The 27277-nt window shown below is 39.4% G+C and overlaps 1 long non-coding RNA gene and 1 pseudogene across 1 annotated transcript in view, besides 1 other annotated feature; both read left to right on the top strand.

Moving 5' to 3' along the window:
• LINC01170 (long intergenic non-protein coding RNA 1170) overlaps positions 1 to 27277 on the top strand; it is a 378727-nt gene that overhangs the window by 201204 nt on the left and 150246 nt on the right. The gene's annotated exons all lie outside the window — the stretch shown is intronic.
• Positions 6443 to 7218: an enhancer, noted in NCBI's record as "H3K4me1 hESC enhancer chr5:123565792-123566567 (GRCh37/hg19 assembly coordinates)". NCBI's record gives its function as "activates a minimal SCP1, AML or CMV promoter by ChIP-STARR-seq in primed H9 embryonic stem cells {active_cell/tissue: H9 hESC(primed)}" and the evidence as "EXISTENCE:reporter gene assay evidence [ECO:0000049][PMID:30033119]".
• On the top strand, positions 16217 to 16973 carry HMGB1P29 (high mobility group box 1 pseudogene 29; annotated as a pseudogene).

Here is a 27277-nt window from a genome sequence, read left to right as displayed (position 1 = left end):
GTCCTTTTGGCATTTAAATATGGGTGACAGGAACTCTTTAAGGCTGCATAAACAGAGCACACAGGTGTTAGAAAAACAGCTGTGAATAAAGGCCAGGTCTTTTCAAACAGAGAGAGAAGTGGTGCGATAAAAGGGCTATAACCTTGTGTTTTTAGGCTTATGACCTTTGTTTCATTAGGTGCACCTTTAACTGTGATAATCATCCACTTAAATGAATATCATTTCCTTACAATTACAGCAGGGTCATACATAATACACTCAGTTCCCCTGGCAGCCTATGTGTTAGTCATGCATATTTCATGAGCAGTTTTATTCCCCAAGTCACTTGCAAGCAATGCTCAATCCCATGGCTTTGGTGCCTAGGAAATAAAGGTCTTGTCCATAAAGAGATCTCAGGGCAATTATTGTAGCTCTGCACTTTATCAAGGAGAGCAACCGAATGACCTGCTTGTAACATCTGACCAGCACTATTATCAATTTTCTTCTTAATATACATGATTCCTCTCAGTTATCAGTGGATATGGGAAACATGTTCCTCTGATTTTATTTGCCTGATGTAAATTGTTTGAATGATGCCTAGTGATATAAGGAGAATATAAGCCCTTAAGAGAATATTTGTAGCAACCTAATGAGTGTAAAAAGAAGGGGGAAAAAAGCCATGTCCCCATGTCTACAACATACTCAATACTTGTGGGGCAGCAAAAAATAGATCACAGTCCATGGAGCATGGTCAGGCAATTTAAGTGAGTCGACATCTGTTTGTGCAATGTGATGTTTTTCCCAGCTGCATCAGCTGCTGGGAAATAAAGTGTTGGAATGATAATAAGCAGAAAGGAAGTTTGCAGTAACAGTGAAATATAAGCCTCTTCATAGTCTCAATATCTTTTGTGGGCAGTTTCCTTTTTTCTCTTTTCAAGACTATTGAGTTCATCAAGACAGCTTCATCTTTGTGAGATCTCCCACCGCACTTGGAATATGATCGAAGAAATGTGAATCCCATCTGCCAGGTCTTGCGGGTTGACTTTCTAGGTTGGATAAAACTGAAAACAATTTACTTTTTAAAAATTCTGACTTTCTAAACGTCGTCTATGCAGAAAGTAGCTTCATTGTCTTTTGCCCCCTATAACTGCTTTCAGTCTTTCATAGTTGAAATACACTGAAATTATAAGAGCTGGGCCAGGTTAGGGCCAAGATACTTGAATCATATCTGTTAGTTCAACATCCTATCTTCCCACTACACCCTGCCCCGGAAAGATTTGGGTGGAAACCCTTGTTCCGCACTCTGCAAGTTATAGAGAGGAGGGGGGAGGGGAGAGAGAGAAACATTTCCTCTTAAACCAGCAAAATTAATATTTACGTTGTTAAAACATTAGAGAAGCCACAGAAAATTATTAATCTAAAAAGGTTATAATTATCTTTAAAATGGTGGCATCCATTGAAATGTAAATCTTAATGTGCAGGGAAAAGGCTCATGTTCTTGGTGCCTGGGGCCGCCTGCCCGGCTGCTGCAGCTGCAATTGATCATTCCAAATCAAAGGGAGAGGGAGATATCTCTGGTGGCGGGCGGGCGGGGGAAGGGTGGTGGGGGGTTGTGGGGGAGCAAGCAGATAAAGATGCTCTGTTCTTTGGGTCTGTTATAAAAAAAAAAATGAGCTGGAATGTGTTTCAAATCTCTCTTCTGTTGAATTTGCAGCCCTTCAAAGCTTACCCACAATAAATAAAAGTTTTCAAAACCCATAGACTCTAAAAGATTCATTGAAAATTCCTCTGAATTAAGCATCTCTCTCTCTCCCTCTCTCTCCTTTCCTTCCTCCTTCCCTCTCCTCCTATCACTCTTGGTCTAAAGTTACCAAAGCCAGCACAGTTTGAAACAAATGTGAATTAGATGATTAAATATGAGGCATATTTAAACTCTTAATGCTTTCATTGATAATGTAGTTATTTTTTGGCCTGCATTCTGGAAAATGAATGCATTGATTACATTGCTCAAGAAGACAACCTGGTCTAAAGGAAAGAGTAAGGTCAAAGGAAAGAGAAAGAGGACCCAGTGAAAAAGCAGAGGCCAAAAGTGTGAAAGCCTGTGTCAGAGTCCCAAGGCCAAGGACTCAGGAGTTCACCAACAAATGACAGGAGACAACTGGAATCTTCTACAGCCCCTCAATATTACTGACTGTGTAGACATTTCTCAAGGTCCATTAAATTCTATTTGATGTACATTAAAAAAGATTTAATCACAGATGCCAGTCAGCTAACCAACCCATTAATCTAGCTGTTTTTCCTAAGAAAATTGTATTTAAAAAGGTCTTTTTTCCTCAATTTAATTTAGTCATCCTTTTAAATTTCATGTATTTATCATGTAAATGTGCCTTATTTGCAAAAGAAAAGCATGGGATTCAATGAAATAAATAGTTATTTCATTAAAATGGATACAAAAAACCCTGTGATTAGGGTAATTAATTTGCACACTAAAAGCTATCTTCCTGGTTCAGATCATTAATATTGATGGCCTTCGATTTTGTTCTCAGTAATGTTCCTTGAAATATACTCAGAACTGGGACCAGGGCTGAATGAGCAGCCATCAGAACACAAGTAAAAATGAGGCATCAGTGAGCATTTGGGGCTGCCTCTCTTCCCTCTTCTTCAGCCAGCAGCACATAATGTAGAGACCTGTGTCCCAAAATAAACTCGGCTGATTCTGTTTGAATGAGTTGGTGTGGTTTATCTTATCTCAAATGTCAGTTATTGATGCCTGGCACTTATTGATGTGTGTCTTCTTTTGGAGGAGGAAAAAAACATTTAAATTGCAAAATAACATTACAGGAGATTATGTCTAGGTACCACATGCTGTTATGCACAGCATTGCCAGATAACAAGGCAACGTCTGTCAATATACCTTTCTCATTAGATTTTCATCTGCATATTATGCAAATGGATTCGAGCAGGTTTCCACTTTGATAGCTCTCTGTCACAAGTTTGAGTCAAGGCACATATTTTGTTTCTGTTCTGTTCAGCAGATGTATTCCACCAAAGACCTTGTAGAAAAGGTGTCATATCAATGTGCTGCACTATCAAATGCAGCTGTAGGCTGCACTCACATGAAAATCAAATCCTGGAACAATTTGAGATTACCTCACTTCGCTGTGTCAGCATGCCCAACATTCCTGGTGATGGAAAATGAATTAACATTCTGTACTAGATATATGTATGTGCGTGCAAACAGATTCATACAGCAACATAGGAGCTGCTTGATATTTTAACTTGCATTTCAGGGTTTGCTGACAGAGATGTTGTAAATGCTTTTTAATTACAGATAAAAGTATGATTTTTAAGACTGGTTTTCATTTTCCCAACTGTTCTTCTTTTTTTTTTTTTTTTTCTGACATATTGCCCTTGAAGTTCCCCTTGCAAGAGATTATACATTTATCCAAAGTTATCAGAATTACTCTCGTGCCTCTGCTACTTTGAAGGTTGCTTTCAGACTATTAAATCTTTTCCAAAAATAAGGATGCCAGAACAGAGGTCTTTAACAATCTCCATTGTTGTTTTAGGGTCAGAAGTGCTTGTGTTAAAATTTGAACACTGTTTTATTGAGTGCAGATTGTGTCAGGGCTTTGTCTCACCTCTGATCTTGATAGTGTGAGTTCTAATGCTGGTCTTGCACTCTCCCTGCCTTTTTTCTTTTCTTTTCTTCTCTTTTCTTTTCTTTCTTTTCTTTTCTTTCTTTTTTTCTTTTCTTTTCTTTCCTTTCTTTCTTTCTTTTTCTTCCTTCCTTCTTTCCTTTCTTTGTTCTTTCTTTCTTTCTTCTTTCTTTTTCCTTCCTTCCTTCCTTCCTTCCTTCCTTCCTTCCTTCCTTCCTACCTTCCTTCCTTCCTTCTTTTTCTCTTTCTCTTTCTCTCTCTCTCCCTTCCTTCCTTCCTTCTTTCCTTCCTTCCTTCCTTCCTTCTTTCCCTTTTTTCAGGGTCTCATTCTGTCACCCAGGCTGGAGTGCAGTGGCACAATCTCTGCTCACTGCAACCTCTGCTTCCTGGGATCAAGTAATTCTCCTGCCTCAGCATCCCGAGTAGCTGGAATTACAGGTGCCCACCACCATGCATGGCTAATTTTCGTATTTTTAATAGAGACAGGGTTTCTCCATGTTAGCCAGGCTGGTCTTGAACTTCTGACCTCAGGTGATCCGCCCATCTCGGCCTCCCAAAGTTCTGGGATTATAGGCATGAGCCACCACGCCTGGCCTCTCCCTGCCTTTTAAAATGCTTTCAGGTATTTAGTTCTATACTTGGAACTATAGAACTAAAGAAGTAATTTAGTACTAAAGAAGCAAATAAGTAATTTATTCAAGGAAGATAGCTTCATGTATTTCTGGATTTCTACAGTGTTCTGTAAGCAAGACAAGGCAAAACAAAAACAAAACAAAACAAAACTAGCCAGAACGATTTCTCAGACTCTGGTGAAAACTTCGTTGGGGTCGGAGGGGCGGGAGGGGGGTGGGAAATGGAAGCTTTCTATATCTTCCCCAAGACTACTCACTGGGCCTTCTTTGCCCGTCTTGTTTTGTGCAGCGCTTGAAGTGGGGCACGCTAGGTGCCCTGTCATAAGACAGGGTGCCACCGCAGACGGCAATGTGCTAATTAAAAAGAGGAACGCAGCACCAGTCTGCTTGTTATTATTCATGGTAAGCATGCAGCAAATCACTTAGCTGTTTGCTTTAAGAAAAAAAGCTTTTTAAAAATTTCTATCCTATTTTTTCCTTTCTTTTCCTTCCTTCTTTTTTTCTCCTTTTCTTTCTTTCTTTTTTTTTTCCCCCCGGACTACCCTGTTTAAAAAGATACTCATGGTCTCAAAGACTTTTTCTAAAGAATGACATTGAAAAGACATTGCCCCGAGGTTTGGTAGAGCAAAAGTCTGGATCATTTGTACTGTTCAATGTCATGCCTTTTTTCCCCCGATTCTTCTTTTAAAACAGCTATTCACTCATTACAATATGCTTTCCACAATATGCTTTCTCTAACCGATTAACAAGTAGGTGAGATGAGTAGGGAGTATTGTTCCAGGGATTTTTTATTTTTTTAAGCATTAAGGAGAAATGATAATAAGAAAAACAGTTTTCTATAACTTAGATCCCCTGAATGCTGGCATTAGAAGGGATTTGCAGCCTGTTAGGCCATGTTCACATTTATTAAGATGTCAGACACTGAATAAAGCAGAAATAGCATTGTTTTAGAAATAGCAATCAATCAACTTCCCTCCCACAAGCAAAATCTAAGTTCAAACACCATAAACTTGGACTTTGAGATTCTGGTACTTTACAGGAGGCAAACATGACGTAGTAGACAGTGTTTTTTCATTAACATGAACCTTCGCATTTGCTTTTCCGAAATGTATCACCATTTAAAGGAAGCTGTCATAAGTATTTCAGATTTATATAATCCTTTTCTTCTGAGGCATCTAAGAAGTTTATAAATGAGCAGTCCACCTACACACTTCATTTTCTCTGATGTTGGGGCCCTTATTTTCCAAGTGTAAGAATTTGTACACGAATGTAAATGTTCCATGGCTTTTTCAAGATGACCAGAGGAATTAGAACCCTGAAATAACTACTTATTCTGTTAGATTTGGGAAACTTGGAAAGCCATTTAAATATTGTTCTTTTTTTCCCCCCCAGGCATCACTCCCTAAATAAAGAGGAGTACAAATTTTTTTGTGGTAATTCGGTTTGCTAGCTGAAAGGTCCATTGGCAATTCTGACGCTAACTCCTAGACTCACAAAAAGTATCAAACTTTTCCTCAAAAAGAATATTTTTATATAGAAAGAGGAAGCTGAACTGTTAGACACTGGGATTCCCCAGCCATTTACAAACGGGCTGCATTGCTCGAGGCTATGGTTCTAGTTCACTGCTGTGATCACTTCACTCCAGCTGCCAGAGTATCCCGCTGACCCCATTCTTTGCAGTGGAGTTGTGATGTTGTAAGTATCACTTCACTGTTTGGTAGAGTGGCTGGATTGTATGAATTTGTCTTTGGTGATCTTGTCTTACACCTTGATGCTATTCAGTAGTGTTCATGGGTTACTCAAGGAACTGGATAAGATCATAGTGGTGGCTCCAAAGGACTTTGGAGTTTTCACAGCTTCTATCTATCCAGTTTGAATAAGGGTTTGCTGTGTGTTACTGACATCCAGATAGGTTGAACAATTGAGGACATTTCTGTTTTAGAACAGAGCCTGGCTTCCTCTCTTAGCCCTAGATCAGTTGTCAGGGGATAAAACCTCCTTGCTAGCAAACATTTAATTTCCCCCTAACCCTCAGCTGAATTGTGCCCCAAATCCTCAAATACATGTATTGAAGCCCTAACCTCTAGTACCTCAGGAATGTGACTGTATTTGGGGATGAGACCTCTAGAGGGGTAATTCAGTTAAAGTGAGGCTGTTAAGGTAGGGTTTAATCCAATTTGACTAGTGTTTTTAAAAGAGGAGAAAATTTGGACTTACAGAGATCCAGGGATGCACATGTGATACTAGTGGGCTAGGGGAGGTCCCAAATGCTGGTAGTGAAGTAGGATATTTCCCTGATCCCTTCTTGGGCAGGAACTGGAGTGCAGGAGTGCTGAAACTAGCTGGCCACTTCAGCGCCAGCAGGGATGAATTCCACTTACTCTAACCTGCTGTGCTTCACCCGTCATGGCCGGCGGGGAGCACTCAGGTGAGCCAGTGCAGGAGACGGGTGAGTGCTTTCGGGCGCTGGCAGGAGTAAAACTCCATGCAGACCCTGTGGCAGTGCCTGGGGGGGTGCCCTTGACCCCTGAAGCCCCAGAAAGAGTGTTATAGTGTTCTTTCAGCTTTGCTGTCCTTGGACAGCTTAAGTGTTAACAGCTCAGTGGAGGGTCAGTGTGATAGCCATTTGCACTCACACTTGAGTTCTTGTCTGGCATCCAGGAGGAATGAGGTCCAATGAACAAATTGAAGATGGTAAATGTGGGGGAATTTATTACCAATGAAAGTGGCTTTCAGTGGGAAGGGGAGCTGAAAAGAGGACATGGAGGGAACGTAATCTTCCCATGAAGTTCAGCTGTTCCTGGCCGGACTCCTCTCCAAAGCTATGCCATCAAGCTGTCCCTCTAAGTCAAAACGCTTTTCTCTGACGTCCAATTGTAGTCTCTGATGTCCAGCTGCTTCTCCTGCTCCCTGCTGGATGATCCTGGGTTCTTATGGGCACAAGATCGGGGGTGGGGCAGGCCATGGGTGGTTTTGGAAAAGGCAACATTGGAGCAGGGAAACAGGGATGTAAGTTCTTGCTTTGGGCCATGGTTCCAGGCTTGAGGGTGGGGCCCTCTCCAGGGACCCGCCCTCTTCTGCCCAGAATTTCCCTGCTTCCTGTCCCTGTCAGTGGGATCTTGACCCCGGCTGGTGTCCAGGCTGTTGACACTGTCACAAGAAGAAATTCAAGGATGAGTTGGAAAATAGTGAAAGTACAGAGATTTATTGCAAAGGGAAAAGTACATATACACAATCAAGAAAGGAGAATGCGGGCATACGGGAGAGAGTCACACACTGGGTTTGGGGTTTGTCTTTGTGGGTTTCTTTGATCAAGTGGTGAAATACTCATGAAGATTCCTGGGAACAAATGGAGATTTTTGGGAACTGTGGTGACACCCATGTTTATAGCAAACATGGGTATTCCGGGAACCGTCATGGTGCTGGTGGATGTGTGTTTAATGTGCTAATGATGGTATAATGAGGTCCTAGGTGAAACCTGGGTCAAATCCAGTACCACCTTGGGTCTAGTCGGATTTAGCCAGCCTGGTCCACACCCTGGTTTTCAGGATCTTATTGGCCTCTAGATTATGCACATATTTCAACAGTTTCCTTTTGCTAGTCATATGAAATTTCTGCCTGGAGTTTTCTGTCCTCCTGTGACCACCCTGTATCATCCCTGTCTTACATCACAGAAGTCATACAAAGAGGTGCAAGAGGGTGAGAAGAGAGGCCTCAAAGGAAACCAGTCTGCCAGCAACTTGATCTTAGAATTACAGCCTCCAGGACCATAGGAAAATCAATCTCAATTGTGTAAACCATCCAGTGTGGTGTTTTGTTATGGCAGCCCAAGCAAACTAATACACTTCTCTTGGACAGTGAGGACTATCTTTCCTGTGATTGTAGAAAATCTGCATTACAATTATGACTTTTGTAGAATACTGATGTGTACTTCATAAAGTTCACTAAGTTTTACAAATGGCTGTTAATGTTAATTTCAAGTTGACAAATGAGAAAACCATTTCTGTGATGCTAATCTCCAAGTGCATCTTTATTTTGCTGACTAAAAATCTGTTCAAATTTTTCTCCTTGGCATTCTTACATTCAAGAGAATTCATAAAGCTATTTCATTTTGAATTTTTAAAATGAGGCATGTGTATGAATTTTATTTGAGAGGCTTAATTGACTTTTGTTAAACATGTCAAAAAATATAAAGAAAGGATTTATTAGATTAAACTTTAACGGCTACAATCAATAGAGATATGATAATGATACAGATCTTGTCTTTATTTAAAATGTTGATATTTTATTTACCGTGGATTTTTGGCATTAATTTTCATTTAAAAAATTCCACTATAATATTATTTTTCTTGATTTCTGAGCTTTGGGGTCTCCATCAATTTTATGTCTGAGATGAATGTGTTATTTGCCTCATCCTAGCCCTAGCCTTGAATTTGTAGATAAAGTGATACTGCCAGTCATAGCTGGGCACTCCTTTTCTACTCCCCTTTGGGGGAATGAATGAAGTTCATGCATTCATTCCCCCAAACTTTTCCCCAGAAGTTAGCCAAAGAATGGCTTAGCAGCTGACTCTGCTGGTTAGGACACATGTAGATACTAGCTAACCACTTAGAAAATTCCCTGAGGACTTTAAGTCATTTCACTTTATAGTTCTTGTGAAGAAGGTGATTGTTGGCTCAGTTTTGGAGAGTTTCACAAGTGGGAAAAATTTCAAGATTAAGATTAACGGTCATGAAAAAGTATGTATCAAAAGGAGAAGAGGGAAATAGAGATGAGGGCAATAGAGGCAGGCCAGAAAAGAGATAAAAGCAAAAACACACCAACAGAGAAATAATATTGTAAACTTGTAGACTGAGCAGATGCAGAAGTCCTCTTGCTCTTTATATAAAACTACAGAGAAATTCTATGCAAATTATGACATTAGCAATTGTTGTCAAGGGTGTGGAGTAACAGGAACTCTCATATTCTGCTGGTGGGAGTGTAATTTGGGAATTAGCCCTGTGAAAAAAAGTGGCAATAAATATTAAGGTTTGAATTACACATGCCCTGTGACTCAGAAATTTCACTTCTAGGTATGTAGCCCAGAGAAACTTTTATATCTGTGCACAAAAAGATATAAAGGAATGTTCATTGTGGCATCAATTGTAACAGTAACAAGGAAGAAATAAGCTAAATACTGCCTTCAGGGAATGGATAATAAAATATGGTATATTCAAGATAAAATATTGGACAGCAGGTAAAAGATTTACCTGTATTGTTATGGATAAATCTCAAAAGCAAAGCTGAAAATATTTGCAAAGCTGTAGAGAAGTTTGAACGCTTGTACATTGCGGGTAGGAATGTAAAATTGTAAGTTGTGATGAAAAACAGTATGGTAGTTCCTCAAAAAAAAAAAAAAAAAAAAAACAGAATTACCATATAATCAAGCAATTCTGCTTCCGGGTATATTTCTAAAAGAATTAAAAGCAGGGACTGAAACAAATATTTGTACACCAATGTTCATAGCAGCATTATTCACAATAGCCAAAAGGTGAAAGCAACCGAAGTGTCCATTGACAATGAATGGATGAACATAATTGTGGTATATACATGCAATGGAGTATTACTCAGCCTTAACAAGAAAGGAAATTCTGACATATGCTATAATATGGATGAAACTTGAAGGCATTATGCTAAATGAAACAAGCCAACCATAAAAGGACAACTACTGTTTGATTCCATTATATAAAGTATCTAGAGGAATCAAATTCATAAAGACAGACAGTACAATGGTTTTTAAGGTCTGGAAGAGTAAAGGAGAATGAGAGGCTATTGTTTGATGGATACAGAATTGAGCTGTACACTTAAAATCATGAAATTGTACATCTTACGTATATTTTACCAGAATACAAAAAGGTTGGTTCAAAAAAGCAGGTCACAAAAGGATTCATTAGATACAATTTGTGTAAATTGAGTGAATACATAAAATGATACTATATTTTATAGATATCTACGTGCATAGTAAAAATATGAAAACATTGCTGTGAAGAATGCATACCACTTTCAGGATAGTGGTTAATTTGGGGAAGAGAGGGAGAGAAAAGAGATGATAATGGAAGGTGACAACTTCCACTTTATTAGCAATATTTTATTTATTTATTTATTTATTTTTGAGATGGGAGTCTCGCTCTTTTGCCCAGGCTGGAGTGCAGTGGTGCGATCTCGGTTCACTGCAAGCTCCGCCTCCTGGGTTCACGCCATTCTCCTGCCTCAGCCTCCCGAGTAGCTGAGACTACAGGTGCCTGCCACCACGCCCGGCTAATTTTTTGTATGTTTAGTAGAGACGGGGTTTCACCGTGTTAGCCAGGATGGTCTCGATCTCCTGACCTCGTGATCTGCCCGCCTCGGCCTCCCAAAGTGCTGGGATTACAGGTGTGAACCACCGCGCCCGGCCACGATATTTTATTTCTAAGAGAAATAAAGTTTAATGACCTTCCTTAGGTTTTTCTGTACTTGAAGAAAAGCATAAGCTGTAGTAGCTATACCATGCTATATTCAGCTTGCTCTGTGAGTTTCAGATAGCACAACTCTAAACAACAAGAGCAGTAGCAGCAATTATCACTGTTACTTGTAGTAGTTGTATGGTGTTAGGTTAAAGCACAAATAAGAGAAGTTGGGAGATCGGGCTGAAGAACTCAGCTTCACCATTTATTTAACTGTATTGAGCTTCAATAAAGATAACAAGGTAGGCTTCATAGGATTGCAACAACATCATGTATGTACAAGCCTAGCATTTAGCAACCATTCAGTATAGGATATAACATTAGTCAAATGCCATTGCTTTCATCCTTCTTGAAAATACTTATTACTTTCACTTTTTTCATCTTGAAGTTGTTCCTTCTATTTCCAGTATGGAGAGGGAGCACATTCAGATGCCAAACAGCAATGCCTTTACTGGATTAAAAACGCCAGTAAAAATGCTGTCTAGTCCTAGAATTTAATCATACTTCATGGCTCTGCCTGTCGTGATAACCTCTGGAAAAGTTAAGTCAAAGTCCACTAAGTTATCACACTTGGGCTTGTGGGATTTTTTACCCTCAGGAGAGGAAGTTATATTAACAATTTATTCTGGTGCATACCAATGAATATGTATGTGATATGAAATGAAAGTTTCTAGGGGAGAACATAAAGAACAAAGAGGCAGAAACTCTCAATTATGTTTCTGTACTATCTCCCACAATACTGTTTGACCTTGTAAAGTTTTCCCATGATTCAAATGAAGATGACAGTACCCATTAGCTGTTACATATTTCTACCTTACAAAGAAAAGGGTTGCTGTCAGGATTAATGAGATGATGTTTGTAAACAGCTTTGAGCTCTTTGGGAGACAGATGTTCTATAAATACAAATTATTAATAAAGTATTTATACTGATGATTGCAGGAAATGTCAACACTTCTGGAAGTCATCAATTATATGGCATATTCAGTGGGAGGAAGAGTATGGCTATGGAATAGAGATACTCAACAGGCTCATGTAATTCTTTGAAAATGTACTATAAAATTAGAACGGCACCAGTTGCAATGATACCAAGGAATTGTGTTTGTTAGGATCCTTCTGATGACAAGGACAGGTAAATAGCTTAGGATATCTCGAATTAGCAATTTATTGTAGCAGGTACCTGAAAGACTGGAAACATAAGATCAAGTCCTAAACTGAAAGGTCAGACAACAAAGATGTACACCCTGACTCACCCTTGCCTGAAGAACCAACTCTTGACATCTCAGAGGACATGCCTTCTACTTTATTTATTTTGTTCTATTCATTACTGAGTTTCTCTCTCTCTTCTTTTAATGCAGCGGTAGCATGTTATTCTTCCTTCTGTCATTTCTGTCTCTTTTTACTCGCCTCCTTAACTCATGGTTTCTTTTGATTAATGGCTTCTGTAGCCTCATGGTTTCTGCTTACTGACTTTCTCTATGTGGCTCTTGTCTTTTGCTTCTCTCTCGTTGGTGGCTCTCTCTCATGTCTTGTGTTTTAATACCCTAAGAGGGGGGATTTGAGCAGTCCTCTCAGGTTGAGTAGTCACTAACGGGTATAAGAAGTATTTACTGGGAAGAGTTCTCATGCTGGGCTACCTCACAAGCCTATTTATGCCCTTTTTTGTTGTTGTTCCCTTTGCATTAGACACTAATCATTACTGCAGTGAGTTGTGGAAAGAGTTGCAGGGGACATTATGTAAGGAATGGAAGGCCACAGAAAGAAATAGACAGCCGGGTGCAGTGGCTCACGCCTGTAATCCCAGCACTTTGGGAGGCTGAGGTGAGTAGATCACCTGAGGTTGGGAGTTCGAGACCAGCCTGACCAACATGGAGAAACCCTGTCTCTACTAAAAATACAAAATTAGCTGTGCGTGGTAGCGCATGCCTGTAATCCCAGCTACTCAGGAGGCTGAGGCAGGAGAATTGCTTGAACCTGGGAGGCGGAGGTTGCGGTGAGCCGAGATCGCGCCATTGCACTCCAGCCTGGGCAACAAAAGCGAGACTCCCTCTCAAGAAAAAAAAAAAGAAAGAAAGAAAGAAAAAGAAATGGCCTTTGAACACCTATCTCAGAAGTGGCTTGAGGGCCTGGCAGTTCTCAGTGCCACATAGATTATCTACTCATAAATGAGAGTGAAAGGTGACGAATAAAGTTTAAAATTCTGATATTTACTTTTATAACCTTTTTAAGGTATTTTATATGTTACTTTTGAATATTCAGAAAACAAGAGAAGATACGTTAGCTTGGAAATACAGACTTATGTGTTGCAGATATTTACTATTTTAAAATATTTTGTTTATAGTGTCTTTCACCATAAAAGTTTTTTAAGTCCTGTATTCAAATATGCTAATCTTTTAAAATGGTCTCTAGACTTTTTGTCTTGATTATAAAGACATTTTCTTCACTAAAATCATAAAAATACTTTCCCACAATTTTCTCTAGCACTTTATTTTTTACTCTTGTTGTTTTTACTCCTAGAAATTTAGTCCCTCTTATTAAAGTGAGAGAAACATAATAGTATGACAAAACTTTTTTTTTTTTTTTTTTTTTTTTGGAGATGGAGTTTTGCTCTTGTTGCTCAGGCTGAAGTGCAATGGTGCCATCTCAGCTCACGGCAACCTCCATCTCCTGGGTTTAAGCAATTCTCCTGCCTCAGCCTCCTGAGTAGCTGGGATTACAGGCATGCACCACCATGCCCAGCTAATTTTGTATTTTTAGTAGAGACAGGGTTTCTCCACGTTGTTCAGACTGGTCTGGAACTCTCGGCCTAAGGTGATCTGCCCGCCTCGGCCTCCCAAAATGCTGGGATTACAGGTGTGAGCCACCATGCCCCACCTGAGAAAACTTTAATATAGACTTTAATAAAGACTCTTTGTCTTTAAGAGGAAAATAAAGAATAAAGAAATAGAAGACTAAATGGTATAATTAGTGATTTTAAGCAATAATTAAAACCTTATATCCAACAAATAAGGAATACAATTTTTTCTTTTAACCCTTACGAAGCATTTATAAAAATAAATCATGCAAAAGACTACAAGGAAATTCCCATATACTCTCCGAGAAGTTGACATCCCTCCCCTAGTACAAGCCAGGTGCTTTCCTGAGCAACTCTCCAGTAAAAGGGCTGATCAGAATTGAAATTGAAGACTACCTAGAAAAAAACATGAAACACTACTCATAAAAGTCCTGGGATCTAGCCAAGTTGCTACTCAAAAAAATTCATAGTATTGGCCAGGTGCTGTGGCTCATGCCTGCAATCCCAGCACTTTGGGAGGCCGAGGTGGGCAGATCACGAGGTCAGGAGTTCAAGACCAGCCTGGCCAACATAGTGAAACCCCATCTCTACCAAAAATACAAAAAATTACCCGGGCATGGTGGTAGGCGCCTGTATTCCTAGCTACTTGGGAGGCTGAGGCAGGAGAATCACTTGAACCTGGGAGGCAGAGGTTGCAGCGAGCCGAGATTGCGCCACTGCACTCCAGCCCCTGCAACCATGCAAGATTCCGTCTCAAAAAAAAAAAAAAAAAAAAGCATAGTATCAAGGACACTTATGATTAAACAAGAATGAAAATAAATATACTAGACATTGATTCACAAAATAAAAACAAAAAACAGCAACACCCAATTAAGCCCAAGAACAACGAGAGGTATAAATAGAGAGAAAAGGTAAATAGTGAGAGTAAATAGTAAATAGGAATACTGAAAAAAAAGATGAATATAATTAATTAGAAAAGAGGAAAAAGGTAGATGTAAGGAGTAAATCTAAGAATTTTTAAAGGCTTGATAATGAAACCACACCTTTGACCAGGAATTAAGGGGAGAGGGAGAGAAAAAACTATGTAATATAAGGGAAACCGTAGACACAGAAGAAATGTCATGGTTATGCTTTCATGGACAATACACGTAAAATTCTTGAATTAAATGAATAATTTCCTGAGAAAATATAAATGACCAAAATTGATCTAAGGCAAGTTGAAAACCTGAAGAAGTAAGTCATATGGATATCATAATAGGAAGAGGAAGCGGTGGCACAGGAAATAGATCAGTGGAACAAAATAAAAAATCCAGAAACAGACTTAAATATGTATGAAACTGCTGCGGCGGGTGGATCACGAGGTCAGGACCATCCTGGCTAAGACGGTGAAACCCCGTCTCTACTAAAAATACAAAAAATTAGCTGGGCGAGGTGGCACACGCCTGTAGTCCCAGCTACTCGGGAGGCTGAGGCAGGAGAATGGCGTGAACCCAGGAGGCGGAGCTTGCAGTGAGCCAAGATCACGCCATTGCACTCCAGCCTGGGCGACAGAGCGAGACTCCGTCTCAAAAAAAAAAAAAAAAAAAAGAGAAGAATAGAGGGGGAGGGTCCCTCAAATAAATTGGAGGAAAAGAAGATTATTCAATGAAGTGTGCTGGGTAATTTAATAATCATTTAGAAATCAATCGATCAGTTAATATCCTTACTCTGTACGTTACACCAAATAATTTCTATTACATTTAAAATAGAATTTAAATTTTTACATTTAAAATTTTTAAATGTAAAAAATTATAGAAAAATACAGGTGAATATTTATATAATCTTGAGAGGAAAACTCTGTCTAATCATGAACCTAAGGGCAGAAACCATACAAGAAAATGCCACTGAGTTAACCAGGTATACATTTAAAAGTTTTGTTTTCAAAACTACCAATTCATTTATAAAAGAACTTGGGAGAATATCTACAATATATGTGGTAAAAATGTGTTGCTATTCTTAATATGAAAGTTCCTAAAAATTAATAAGCAAAAGATAAATGCCCTAAAGGAAAAATGGACTAAGAATGTTTCTAGAGGAGAGATTTATCTGCCCTGTGAGAAATTCATCAGTTTCACTGCTAATCAAGAAATGCAAAGTCAAAAAAATTAGCATATTCTATCTTTCAACTGGCAAAGATGAAAACAGAATGGAAAAAGTGAAATCCCGTTCCTTGTTGGTAATTGTTATTATAAAGGTACAAACTTTTTGAGAAGCAATATGGCAAAATTCACAAGTATTCTTGTTGAAGTATTTTTAAGAAAAGTGTTTTACAGACAGCAAAAATATATTACGTAGCATTCTATTTATTGCTTCCTGCAGGTTGTTTATAGTAGTAAAAGAGAGGTGACAGACTAAATGTTCTAAAATAGTGTATTTATTAAATGAATTAGAATATATCCTTACAAGAGAATTCTATAGAGCCATTAAAGTGATGCAAATCAGTGTTTATTTTTATGAAATACATCCCCAATATGTTTCCTAATAGAAAACAAAAGCCTCCAAAGAATAAAATCTCACTTTTGTTAAGAATGTGTCTGTTGTAGATAGCCACTGCAATACATTGAGTTCCCTAGAGACGGCACCAGGGCAGGTGAGAGCCAGATGGGCACTGGACTACTCTTTGCCTTGCTGAGAAAAAATAAGTAAACATGGGCAAAGGAGAGCCTAAGATGCTGTGAGGCAAAATGTCATCATACGGATTCTTTGTGCAAAAGTGTTAGGAAGAGCACAAAAAGAGCACCCAGATGCTTCTGTAAGCTTCTCAGAAGAACTCAGAGAGGTGGAAGACCACGTCTGCTAAAGAGAAAGGAAAATTTGAAGACATAGCAAAGGTGGACTAGGCTTGTTAAGAAAGACGAATGAAACCTATGTCCCCTGTAAAGGAGAAACAAGTCTAGGAGCCCAACGCACCCAAGATTCCTCCTTTGACTTTTTTCCTGTTCTGCTCTAAGCATCACGCAAAAATCAAAGAACATCCATTGGTGATGTAGCAAAGAAACAGGGAGATGTGGAATAACGCTGCTGCAGATGACAAGCTGCCTTATGAAAAGTCTTTGAAGCTGAAGGAAAAAGACAAAAAGGATATTGCTGCATAGTGAGCTAAAGAAAAGCCTGATGCAGCAAAAAAGGGAGTTGTCAAGGCTGAAAAATGCAAGAAAAAGAAGAAAGAGGAGGGAGATGAGGAGGATGAAAATAAAGATGATGATGATAACTAAGTTGGTTGTAGTACAGTTTTTTTTTTTTTTTTTGGTCTATAAAGCATTTAAACCCCTTATACACAACTCACTCCTTTTAAAGAAAGAAGTAAGGCTACATATGATTTGTTCTTAAACTGTACAGTGTCCTTTTTTTTTTTTTTGTATAGTTAACCACACTACCAAATGTGTCTTTAGATAGTACTGTCCTGGTGGTGTTTGCCATAGCCACTAACCTTGCTTGGTACAGTATGGGGGTTGTAAATTGGCATGGATATTTAAAGCAGGTTCTTTTTGGTGCACAACACAAATTAATTGTGTATACGGATGGTAGTTTTTTCATCTGCAGTTATCTGTCATGCAGCTTTTATGAAATAATTGTTCTGTTAGCTGAATACCACTCTGTAATTGCAAAAAAAAAAAATAGTTTCAGCTGTTTGTTGACATTCTGAATACTTCTAAGTAAATACAATTTTTATTACTTAAAAAATATTTATTTTAAAAATCTGGAGTGATATAAACAAATGATTGACAAAGAGTCCATTTGGGTTAAATTATATGTGTTATAAGTGATTATTTTCTAGTTTTTTTTTGTATTTCCTAATATTTACACTAAATATGCCTTATATATGTAATAAAATAGCAAAATATTAACCAAAAAGTATTGATTCTTTGTTATTATCCTCAAAAGTTCAAAAGTAATACATTGACAACCCATAAACTCATATAATTTCAGCAATTATTAGTTTGCCACATTTGCCGTATCCCTTTCTCTCCTCTCTGTCTCTCTTTCTGCAGTGAACTATTTGTACATCACAACATTTCATCTATAAAGGCTTCAGTATGTAGTTTCTAAGCAAAGGGACCTGCTTCAAAAGCACATTCTCTACATAGCCAAATACAATGACCAAGTCCAAGAAACTCATTGAAACTCCTCTTCTGTCTCAGCTCTGAAACAACTGTCATCTGATCTTTTACTTTTCTGACGTGACATGAACTGGAGGCAGGGAAGCTGATAATTTACTTTCCTTGAAGCCCTTCAAAACAAATACACTTTTCCATACTTGATAGAAGTGATCCCAAAAACTGTGTGCACTGAATGATATGTTCCTTTGGAATTCCATTTTAATTAGAAATCCAAAATGTACTGTAATTTATCTAATTGTTCTCTCCTTGGTAATGCCTCCTAATAGTTTATCTTTCACCCTGCCAGTTTTCTTTTCTTTTTTTTTTTTAATTATTATACTTTCAGTTTTAGGGTACATGTGCACAACATGCAGGTTTGTTACATATGTATACATGTACCATGTTGGTGTGATGCACCCATTTACTCCTCATTTAGCATTAGGTATATCTCCTAATGCTATCCCTCCCCCCTCCCCCAACCCCACAACAGTCCCCAGTGTGTGATGTTCCCCTTCCTGTGTCCATGTATTCTCATTGTTCAATTCGCACCTGCGAGTGAGAACATGTGGTGTTTGGTTTTCTGTCCTTGCCATAGTTTGCTGAGAATGATGGTTTCCAGCTTCATCCGTGTCCCTACAAAGGACATGAACTCATCATTTTTTGTGGCTGCATAGTATTCCATGGTGTATATGTGCCACAATTTCTTAATCCAGTCTATCACTGTTGGACATTCGGGTTGGTTCCAAGTGTTTGCTATTGTGAATAGTGAGGCAATAAACATACGTGTGCATGTGTCTCTAGAGCAGCATGATTTATAATCCTTTGGGTATATACCCAGTAATGGGATGGCTGGGTCAAATGGTATTTCTAGTTCTAGATCCCTGAGGAATCGCCACACCAACTTCCACAATGGTCGAACTAGTTTACAGTCCCACCAACAGTGTAAAAGTGTTCCTATTTCTCCACATCCTTTCCAGCACCTGTTGCTTCCTGACTTTTTAATGATCGCCATTCTAACTGGTGTGAGATGGTATCTCACTGTGGTTTTGATTTGCATTTCTCTGATGGCCAGTGATGGTGAGCATTTTTTCATGTGTTTTTTGGCTGCATAAATGTCTTCTTTTGAGAAGTGTCTGTTCATATCCTTCGCCCACTTTTTGGTGGGGTTGTTCGTCTTTTTCTTGTAAATTTGTTTGAGTTCATTGTAGATTCTGGATATTAGCCCTTTGTCAGATGAGTAGGTTGCAAACATTTTCTCCCATTCTGTAGGTTGCCTGTTCACTCTGATGGTAGTTTCTTTTGCTGTGCAGAAGCTCTTTAGTTTAATTAGATCCCATTTGTCAATTTTGGCTTTTGTTGCCATTGCTTTTGGTGTTTTAGACATGAAGTCCTTGCCCATGCCTATGTCCTGAATGATATTGCCTAGGTTTTCTTCTAGGGTTTTTATGATTTTAGGTCTAACATGTAAGTCTTTAATCCATCTTGAATTAATTTTTGTATAAGGTGTAAGCAAGGGATCCAGTTTCAACTTTCTACATATGTCTGGCCAGTTTTCCTAGCACCATTTATTAAATGGAGAAACCGTTGCTTGTTTTTCTCAGGTTTGTCAAAGATCAGATAGTTGTAGATATGTGGCATTATTTCTGAGGGCTCTGTTCTGTTCCATTGGTCTATATCTCTGTTTTGGTACCAGTAACATGCTGTTTTGGTTACTGTAGCCACATAGTATAGTTTGAAGTCAGGTAGTGTGATGCCTCCAGCTTTGTTCTTTTGGCTTAGGATTGACTTGGCAATGCGGGCTATTTTTTGGTTCCATATGAACTTTAAAGTAGTTTTTTCCAATTCTGTGAAGAAAGTCATTGGTAGCTTGATGGGGATGGCATTGAATCTATCAATTACCTTGGGCAGTATGGCCATTTTCACGATATTGGTTCTTCCTACCCATAAGCATGGAATGTTCTTCCATTTATTTGTAACTTCTTTTATTTCATTGAGCAGTGGTTTGTAGTTCTCCTTGAAGAGGTCCTTCACATCCCTTGTAAGTTGGATTCCTAGGTATTTTATTCTCTTTGAAGCAATTGTGAATGGGAGTTCACTCATGATTTGCCTCTCTGTTTGTCTGTTATTGGTGTATAAGAATGCTTGTGATTTTTGTACATTGATTTTGTATCCTGAGACTTTGCTGAAGTTGCTTATCAGCTTAAGGAGATTTTGGGCTGAGGTGATGGGGTTTTCTAGATATACAATCATGTCATCTGCAAACAGGGACAATTTGACTTCCTCTTTTCCTAATTGAATACCCTTTATTTCCTTCTCCTGCCTCATTGCCCTGGCCAGAACTTCCAAGACTATGTTGAATAGGAGTGGTGAGAGAGGGCATCCCTGTCTTGTGCCAGTTTTCAAAGGGAATGCTTCCAGTTTTTGTCCATTCAGTATGATACTGGCTGTGGGTTTGTCATAGATAGCTCTTATTATTTTGAGATACGTCCCATCAATACCTAATTTATTGAGAGTTTTTAGCATGAAGCGTTGTTGAATTTTGTCAGAGGACTTTTCTGCATCTATTGAGATAATCATGTGGTTTTTGTCTTTGGTTCTGTTTATATGCTGGATTACATTTATTGATTTTCATATGTTGAACCAGCCTTGCATCCCAGGGATGAAGCCCACTTGATCATGGTGGATAAGCTTTTTGATGTGTTGCTGGATTCGGTTTGCCAGTATTTTATTGAGGATTTTTGCATCAATGTTCATCAAGGATATTGGTCTAAAATTCTCTTTTTTTGTTGTGTCTCTGCCAGGCTTTGGTATCAGGATGATGCTGGCCTCATAAAATGAGTTAGGGAGGATTCCCTCTTTTTCTGTTGATTGGAGTAGTTTCAGAAGGAATGGTACTAGCTCCTCCTTGTACCTCTGGTAGAATTCGGCTGTGAATCCATCTGGTCCTAGACTTTCTTTGGTTGGTAAGCTATTAATTATTGCCTCAATTTCAAAGCCTGTTATTGGTCTATTCAGAGATTCAACTTCTTCCTGGTTTAGTCTTGGGAGAGTGTATGTGTCGAGGAATTTATCCATTTCTTCTAGATGTTCTAGTTTATTTACGTAGAGGTATTTATACTATTGTCTGATGGTAGTTTGTATTTCTGTGGGATCAGTGGTGATATCCCCTTTGTCATTTTTTATTGCGTCTATTTGATTCTTCTCTCTTTTCTTCTTTATTAGTCTTGCTAGCAGTCTATCAATTTTGTTGATCTTTTCAAAAAACCAGCTCCTGGATTCATTGATTTTTTGAAGTGTTTTTTATGTCTCTATTTCCTTCAGTTCTGCTCTGATCTTAGTTGTTTCTTGCCTTCTGCTAGCTTTTGAATGTGTTTGCTCTTGCTTCTCTATTTCTTTTAATTGTGATGTTAGGGTGTCAATTTTAGATCTTTCCTGCTTTCTCTTGTGGGCATTTAGTGCTATAAATTTCCCTCTACACACTGCTTTGAGTGTGTCGCAGAGATTCTGGTATGTTGTGTCTTTGTTCTCGTTGGTTTCAAAGAACATCTTTATTTCTGCCTCCATTTCGTTATGTACCCAGTAGTCATTCAGGAGCAGGTTGTTCAGTTTCCATGTAGTTGAGTGGTTTTGAGTGAGTTTCTTAATCCTGAGTTCTAGTTTGGTTGTACTGTGGTCTGAGAGACAGTTTGTTATAATTTCTGTTCTTTTACATTTGCCAAGGAGTGCTTTACTTCCAACTATGTGGTCATTTTTGGAATAAGTGCGTTGTGGTGCTGAGAAGAATGTATACTCTGTTGATTTGGGGTGAAGAGTTCTGTAGATGTCTATTAGGTCCACTTGATGCAGAGCTGAGTTCAATTCCTGAATATCTTTCTTAACTTTCTGTCTTGTTGATCTGTCTAATGTTGACAGTGGGGTGTTAAAGTCTCCCATTATTATTGTGTGGGAGTCTAAGTCTCTTTGTAGGTCACTAAGGACTTGCTTTATGAATCTGGGTCCTCCTGTATTGGGTGCATATATATTTAGGATAGTTAGTTCTTCTTGTTGAATTGATCCCTTTACCATTATGTAATGGCCTTCTTTGTCTCTTTTGATCTTTGTTGCTTTAAAGTCTGTTTCATCCAAGACTAGGATTTCAACCCCTGCCTTTTTTTGTTTTCCATTTGCCTGGTAGATCTTCCTCCATCCCTTTATTTTGAGCCTATGTGTGTCTCTGCACATGAGATGGGTTTCCTGAATACAGCACACTGATGGGTCTTGACTCTTTATCCAATTTACCAGTCTGTGCCTTTTAATTGGAGCATTTAGCCCATTTACATTTAAGGTTAGTATTGTTATGTGTGAATTTGATCTTGTCATTATGATGTTAGCTGGTTATTTTGCTCGTTAGTTGATGCAGTTTCTTCCTACCCTTGATGCTCTTTACAATTTGGCATGTTTTTGCAGTGGCTGGTACCGGTTGTTCCTTTCCATGTTTAGTGCTTCCTTCAGGAGCTCTTTTAGGGCAGGCCTGGTGGTGACAAAATCTCTCAGCATTTGCTTGTCTGTAAAGTCGTTTATTTCTCCTTCACTTATGAAGCTTCGTTTGGCTGGATATGAAATTCTGGGTTTAAAATTCTTTTCTTTAAGAATGTTGAATATTGGCCCCCACTCTCTTCTGGCCTGTAGAGTTTCTGCTGAGAGATCAGCTGTTAGTCTGATGGGTTTCCCTTTGTGGGTAACCCAACATTTCTCTCTGGCTGCCCTTAACATTTTTTCCTTCATTTCAACTTTGGTGAATCTGCCAATTATGTGTCTTGGAGTTGCTCTTCTCGAGGAGTATCTTTGTGGCGTTGTCTGTATTTCCTGAATTTGAATTTTGGCCTGCCTTGCTAGATTGCGGAAATTCTCCTGGATAGTATCCTGCAGAGTGTTTTCCAACTTGGTTCCATTCTCCCCGTCACTTTCAGGTACACCAGTTAGACGTAGATTTGGTCTTTTCACAGTCCCATATTTCTTGAAGGCTTTGTTCCTTTCTTTTTATTCTTTTTTCTCTAAACTTCTCTTCATGCTTCATTTCATTCATTTCATCTTCCAGCGCTGATACCATTTCTTCCAGTTGATCGCATTGGTTACTGAGGCTTGTGCATTCATCACGTGCTTCTCATGCCATGGTTTTCAGCTCCATCAGGTCCTTTAAGGACTTCTCTGCATTGGTTTTTCTAGTTATCCATTCATCTAATTTTTTTTTCAAAGTTTTTAACTTCTTTGCCATTGGTTCGAATTTCTTCCTTTAGCTTGGAGTAGTTTGATCGTCTGAAGCCTTCCTCCCTCAACTCGTCAAAGTCATTCTCCGTCCAGCTTTGTTCCGTTGCTGGTGAAGAGCTGCGTTCCTTTGGAGGAGGAGAGGCGCTCTGAGTTTTAGAGTTTCCGGTTTTTTTGCTCTGTTTTTTCGCCATCTTTGTGGTTTTATCTACCTTTGGTCTTTGATGATGGTGACGTACAGATGGGTTTTTGGTGTGGATGTCCTTTCTGTTCGTTAGTTTTCCTTCTAAGAGTCAGGACCCTCAGCTGCAGGTCTGTTGGAGTTTACTGGAGGTCCACTCCAGACCCTGTTTGCCTGGGTATCAGCAGCGGTGGCTGCAGAACAGCGGATACTGGTGAACCGCAAATGCTGCTGCTTGATCGTTCCTCTGGAAGTTTTGTCTCAGAGGAGTACCCGGCCATGTGAGGTGTCAGTCCACCCCTACTGGGGGTGCCTCCCAGTTAGGCTACTCAGGGGTCAGGGACCCACTTGAGGATGCAGTCTGCCCGTTCTCAGATCTCAAGCTGCGTGCTGGGAGAACCACTACTCTCTTCAAAGCCGTCAGACAGGGACATTTAAGTCTGCAGAGGTTATTGCTGTCTTTTGTTTGTCTGTGCCCTGCCCCCAGAGGTGGAGCCTGCAGAGGCAGGCAGGCCTCATTGAGCTGTGGTGGGCTCCACCCAGTTTGAGATTTCCAGCCTCTTTGTTTACCTACTCAAGCCTGAGCAATGGCAGGCGCCCCTCCTCCAGCCTCGCTGCCACCTTGCAGTTTGATCTCAGACTGCTGTGCTAGCAATGAGCGAGGCTCTGTGGGCGTAGGATCCTCTGAGCCATGTGCGGGATATAATCTTCTGGTGTGCCATTTGATAAGCCCGTTGGAAAAGCACAGTATTCAGGTAGGAGTGACCCGATTTTCCAGGTGCCGTCTGTCACCCCTTTCTTTGACTAGGAAAGGGCATTCCCTGACTCCTTGTGTTCCCGGGTGAGGTGATGCCTCGTCCTGCTTTGGCTCATGCACGGTGCACTGCACCCACTGTCCTGCACCCACTGTTTGGCACTCCCGAGTGAGATGAACCCGGTACCTCAGTTGGAAATACATAAATCACCCATTTTCTGCGTCGCTCACGCTGGGAGCTGTAGACTGGAGCTGTTCCTATTCGGCCATCTTGGCTCCACCTCACCCTGCCAGTTTTCAATAGCTATTTTGGACTTGGCTTTCAAAGGGCATTCAGGCATACTATCTCTTGGCATATTTCCCAGTATAATACCTCATTGTTTTTGATAACCAAAATTCACACAACTTATAAATTTCTTAACAACGTATTTTCAGACCATGTTTGTATATATGAAAAAATTATATTTATGAACCAAACACTTAGTACAACATTTTAAAGTAAGCGGTATCTTGGAATGGTCTCAAGTTTTATTCTAGATTCAATTATTAGCACCTCACAATCCTGTATAGAAGCACTTAGAAAGCACAATGAATTACTGCACACCGGTAACTCTATGTTAGCAACAATATTAATTATTTGGTGGTCAGAAAGCAATGTTTTAAGTATGTTATATCCTAACATGATAATTTGTTACTTATGTATGTAGGCAATGTATTTTAGTACATTTAGGAAATTGGTAACGAGCTTTGTATTAAAGTATAGTGAATGACTTTTTTTTCCATTTAAAATAAAATAGTCTCCTGATCAGCGTTCTTAGGCAGACTTTTCTTCTCAAGGCATGAATTACTTATGTTAAGCAAGAAATATGTATATTTACTTAATTTTACCTTTTCCGCTAGCCTTAAACAGTCAGGACATGTTTATTTTCTTTGCTTCATTTGTAAAATGATGACAATTTCAACCTCTTCTGGGGAGAGATCACATCAGAGTTGTAAATATATGCCTCAGTGAAAAGGTTTTGAAATCATTTCTGATTTTTTTTCATTGGATTGGTCATATTGGTAGACTCCATTCATGCAGACCTGAATACCCTAGAAGCAGGAACATTAAAGTGAGTAAATTGAATAAACAACCATGCAAATAATAACAAAATACCACTTCTTCATAAAATACCAAATGCCAAGGATATTCTTACAGAGGGTGATTTTCATCAAGATGGAGAGATTAGAACATGAAAATCTTGAATGAGCTGAATAGAATTTCAGATAAAATACACACATAAAAGTTATATTGATAGGTGGAGCATGGGGAATTTTTAGGATAGTGAAACTATTCTGTATGATACTCTAAAGGTGGACACATGTTATACATTTGTCAAAACCCATAGAATTTAAACTGCCAATAATGAATCCTAATGTAAACTATGGACTTTGGGTGTTAGTGACATGTCAACGTAGGTTCATCAATTGTAACACGTGTGCCTCTCTGGCGTGGGATGTTCAGAGCAGGGGAGACTGTGTGTGAGGGGAGGGGTATATGGGAACCCTTTGTAGCTTTCACTCAATTTTGCTATGAACTTAAAACTGCTTTTTTTTTTTTTTTTTTTTTTTGAGACAGAGTCTTGCCCTGTCACCATGCTGGAGTGGTGCATTGGCACGGTGTTGGCTCACTGCAACCTCTGCCTCCCACATTCAAGCAATTCTTGTGACTCAGCCTTCTGAGTAACTGGGATTACAGGTGCGTGCTACCATGCCTGGCTAATTTTTTTATTTTTATTTTTAGTAGAGATGGAGTTTCACCATATTGGTCAGGCTGGTCTCGAACTCCTGACCTCGTGATCTGCCCACCTCAGCCTCCCAAAGTGCTGGGATTACGGGCATCAGCCACTGTACCCGGCCAAAACTGCTTTAATAAATAAAGTTTATTTATTTTTTTAAAAGAATATTGAAGAGACTAACTCTATGGGCTACATAATACAAAAGTTTTATTTTTCTTCACTCTCTGTTTTCAACTGCTTTGTCAAATCTCTGGGTCAGATTCTATAACTTCACATTAGTAAGTCTGGACCAATCTGAACCTTTACTTAAATCTCTTCTCTTTTCCCCCTAGAGCAGGGACAGTCTGGAGCACTGACAGCATGAGTAGGTGGGATGTGTTGGAAAAGGTGGGTGCTCCTGCTTGGAGATAGCTTCCTGCCTTTCCAAGGCCCAGCTCCTCGTGTGGGTTGGGGCCAAAGGCAAGGAGAGAAAGGAGACAAATGTCTTTGTACTCAAAGGCTGATATTGTAGCTCTCTGCTGTGCCTGATCTCTGCATGTTAGGCTTCTAAATACTGGCTGTTTTATGGGGGTACATATATAATTTCTATGGAGGATCCTATAGTGTCTCTCCACTGTGTAGTTCCCTGGCCTTAGGAATCCAGCTTTAGGTGATTTCTTCCTTTGTCCCTCAGCCCTACCCCAGTTGATTGCTCAGCCTATTGCTGTTGGGGACCCCTTGCTCAATGGGCAGGACTCATGTGAGGTGCCAGCAGAAAGACAAAATCCCAGGCATCTTCTACAGACTCCAGTTAAGCTCCGGAAAACTCATGAATTCTTGTCATTTTTGCAAAAGGAATATATACAGAATAATTCTGTGTTATTCTCTGTCATTTGTTTCCAATACTCATCTTCTCTGATCACACAAACTCAGTGCTAGGTTAGTAAGTCTGCTGCCTAAGCAGATGTCCAATCAAGGGTAGAATGTCATTTTTCACTTCCTATCATCACTCTGTCAATGAGTAACTCTTCTGGAGTTTTCCCCTCACTCTCCAAGCATGGCATCTAAGTATGGCAAAAGTGATATATCACAACAAACAGAGGACTCTCCTTCTCTCTTCTCTTCAGCCTTCTTGTGTAGCTTGGGAAGGCATGCAGGTGGAAAACTGGAGTGCAAGCTGGTGATAGGCAAGCCCAATAACCACACTTCAATAAACAGAGGAAGTGTCTAACCTCATATGTAGGTGCCTCTTTTTAGATGTTATCTTTAGAATACCACTCTTTGGACAACACATTAGCCTAATTCATTCTAAAGAGAGCCAATTTCGAGGCAGCAGCAAAAGTTCTTCTCAGCATCACATTTGATTGGTCATACTTTGCCTTGGTTTAGTTCCAACTCTGCAGCTGTCCTCTACCAGTGAAGTTGTCTTAGTGTATATAATGTGCTTGTTTACCTTAGAGGGGTAGCATGACACCCAATCCCTTCCATTAACAAGAACTCACAGAAAGAGAGGTGGCCATGTATCACTTTAGCCCTGCTAAGTAGTCCATTCCTCAAACCCCTTCTCCAAGCAGGTCTTCATTTCCTTTACCTGAAAACCACCTGGGTAGCTTTATGGAAATGTACTTATCTAGAATATCTAGGAGCCTTTCCAGAATC

Source organism: Homo sapiens, chromosome 5 (assembly GCF_000001405.40).
Source record: "Homo sapiens chromosome 5, GRCh38.p14 Primary Assembly".
NCBI classification, from domain to species: Eukaryota; Metazoa; Chordata; class Mammalia; order Primates; family Hominidae; genus Homo; species Homo sapiens.
Note: the sequence above shows the minus strand (reverse complement) of the source record. Positions and strands in the feature narration are given on the sequence as shown.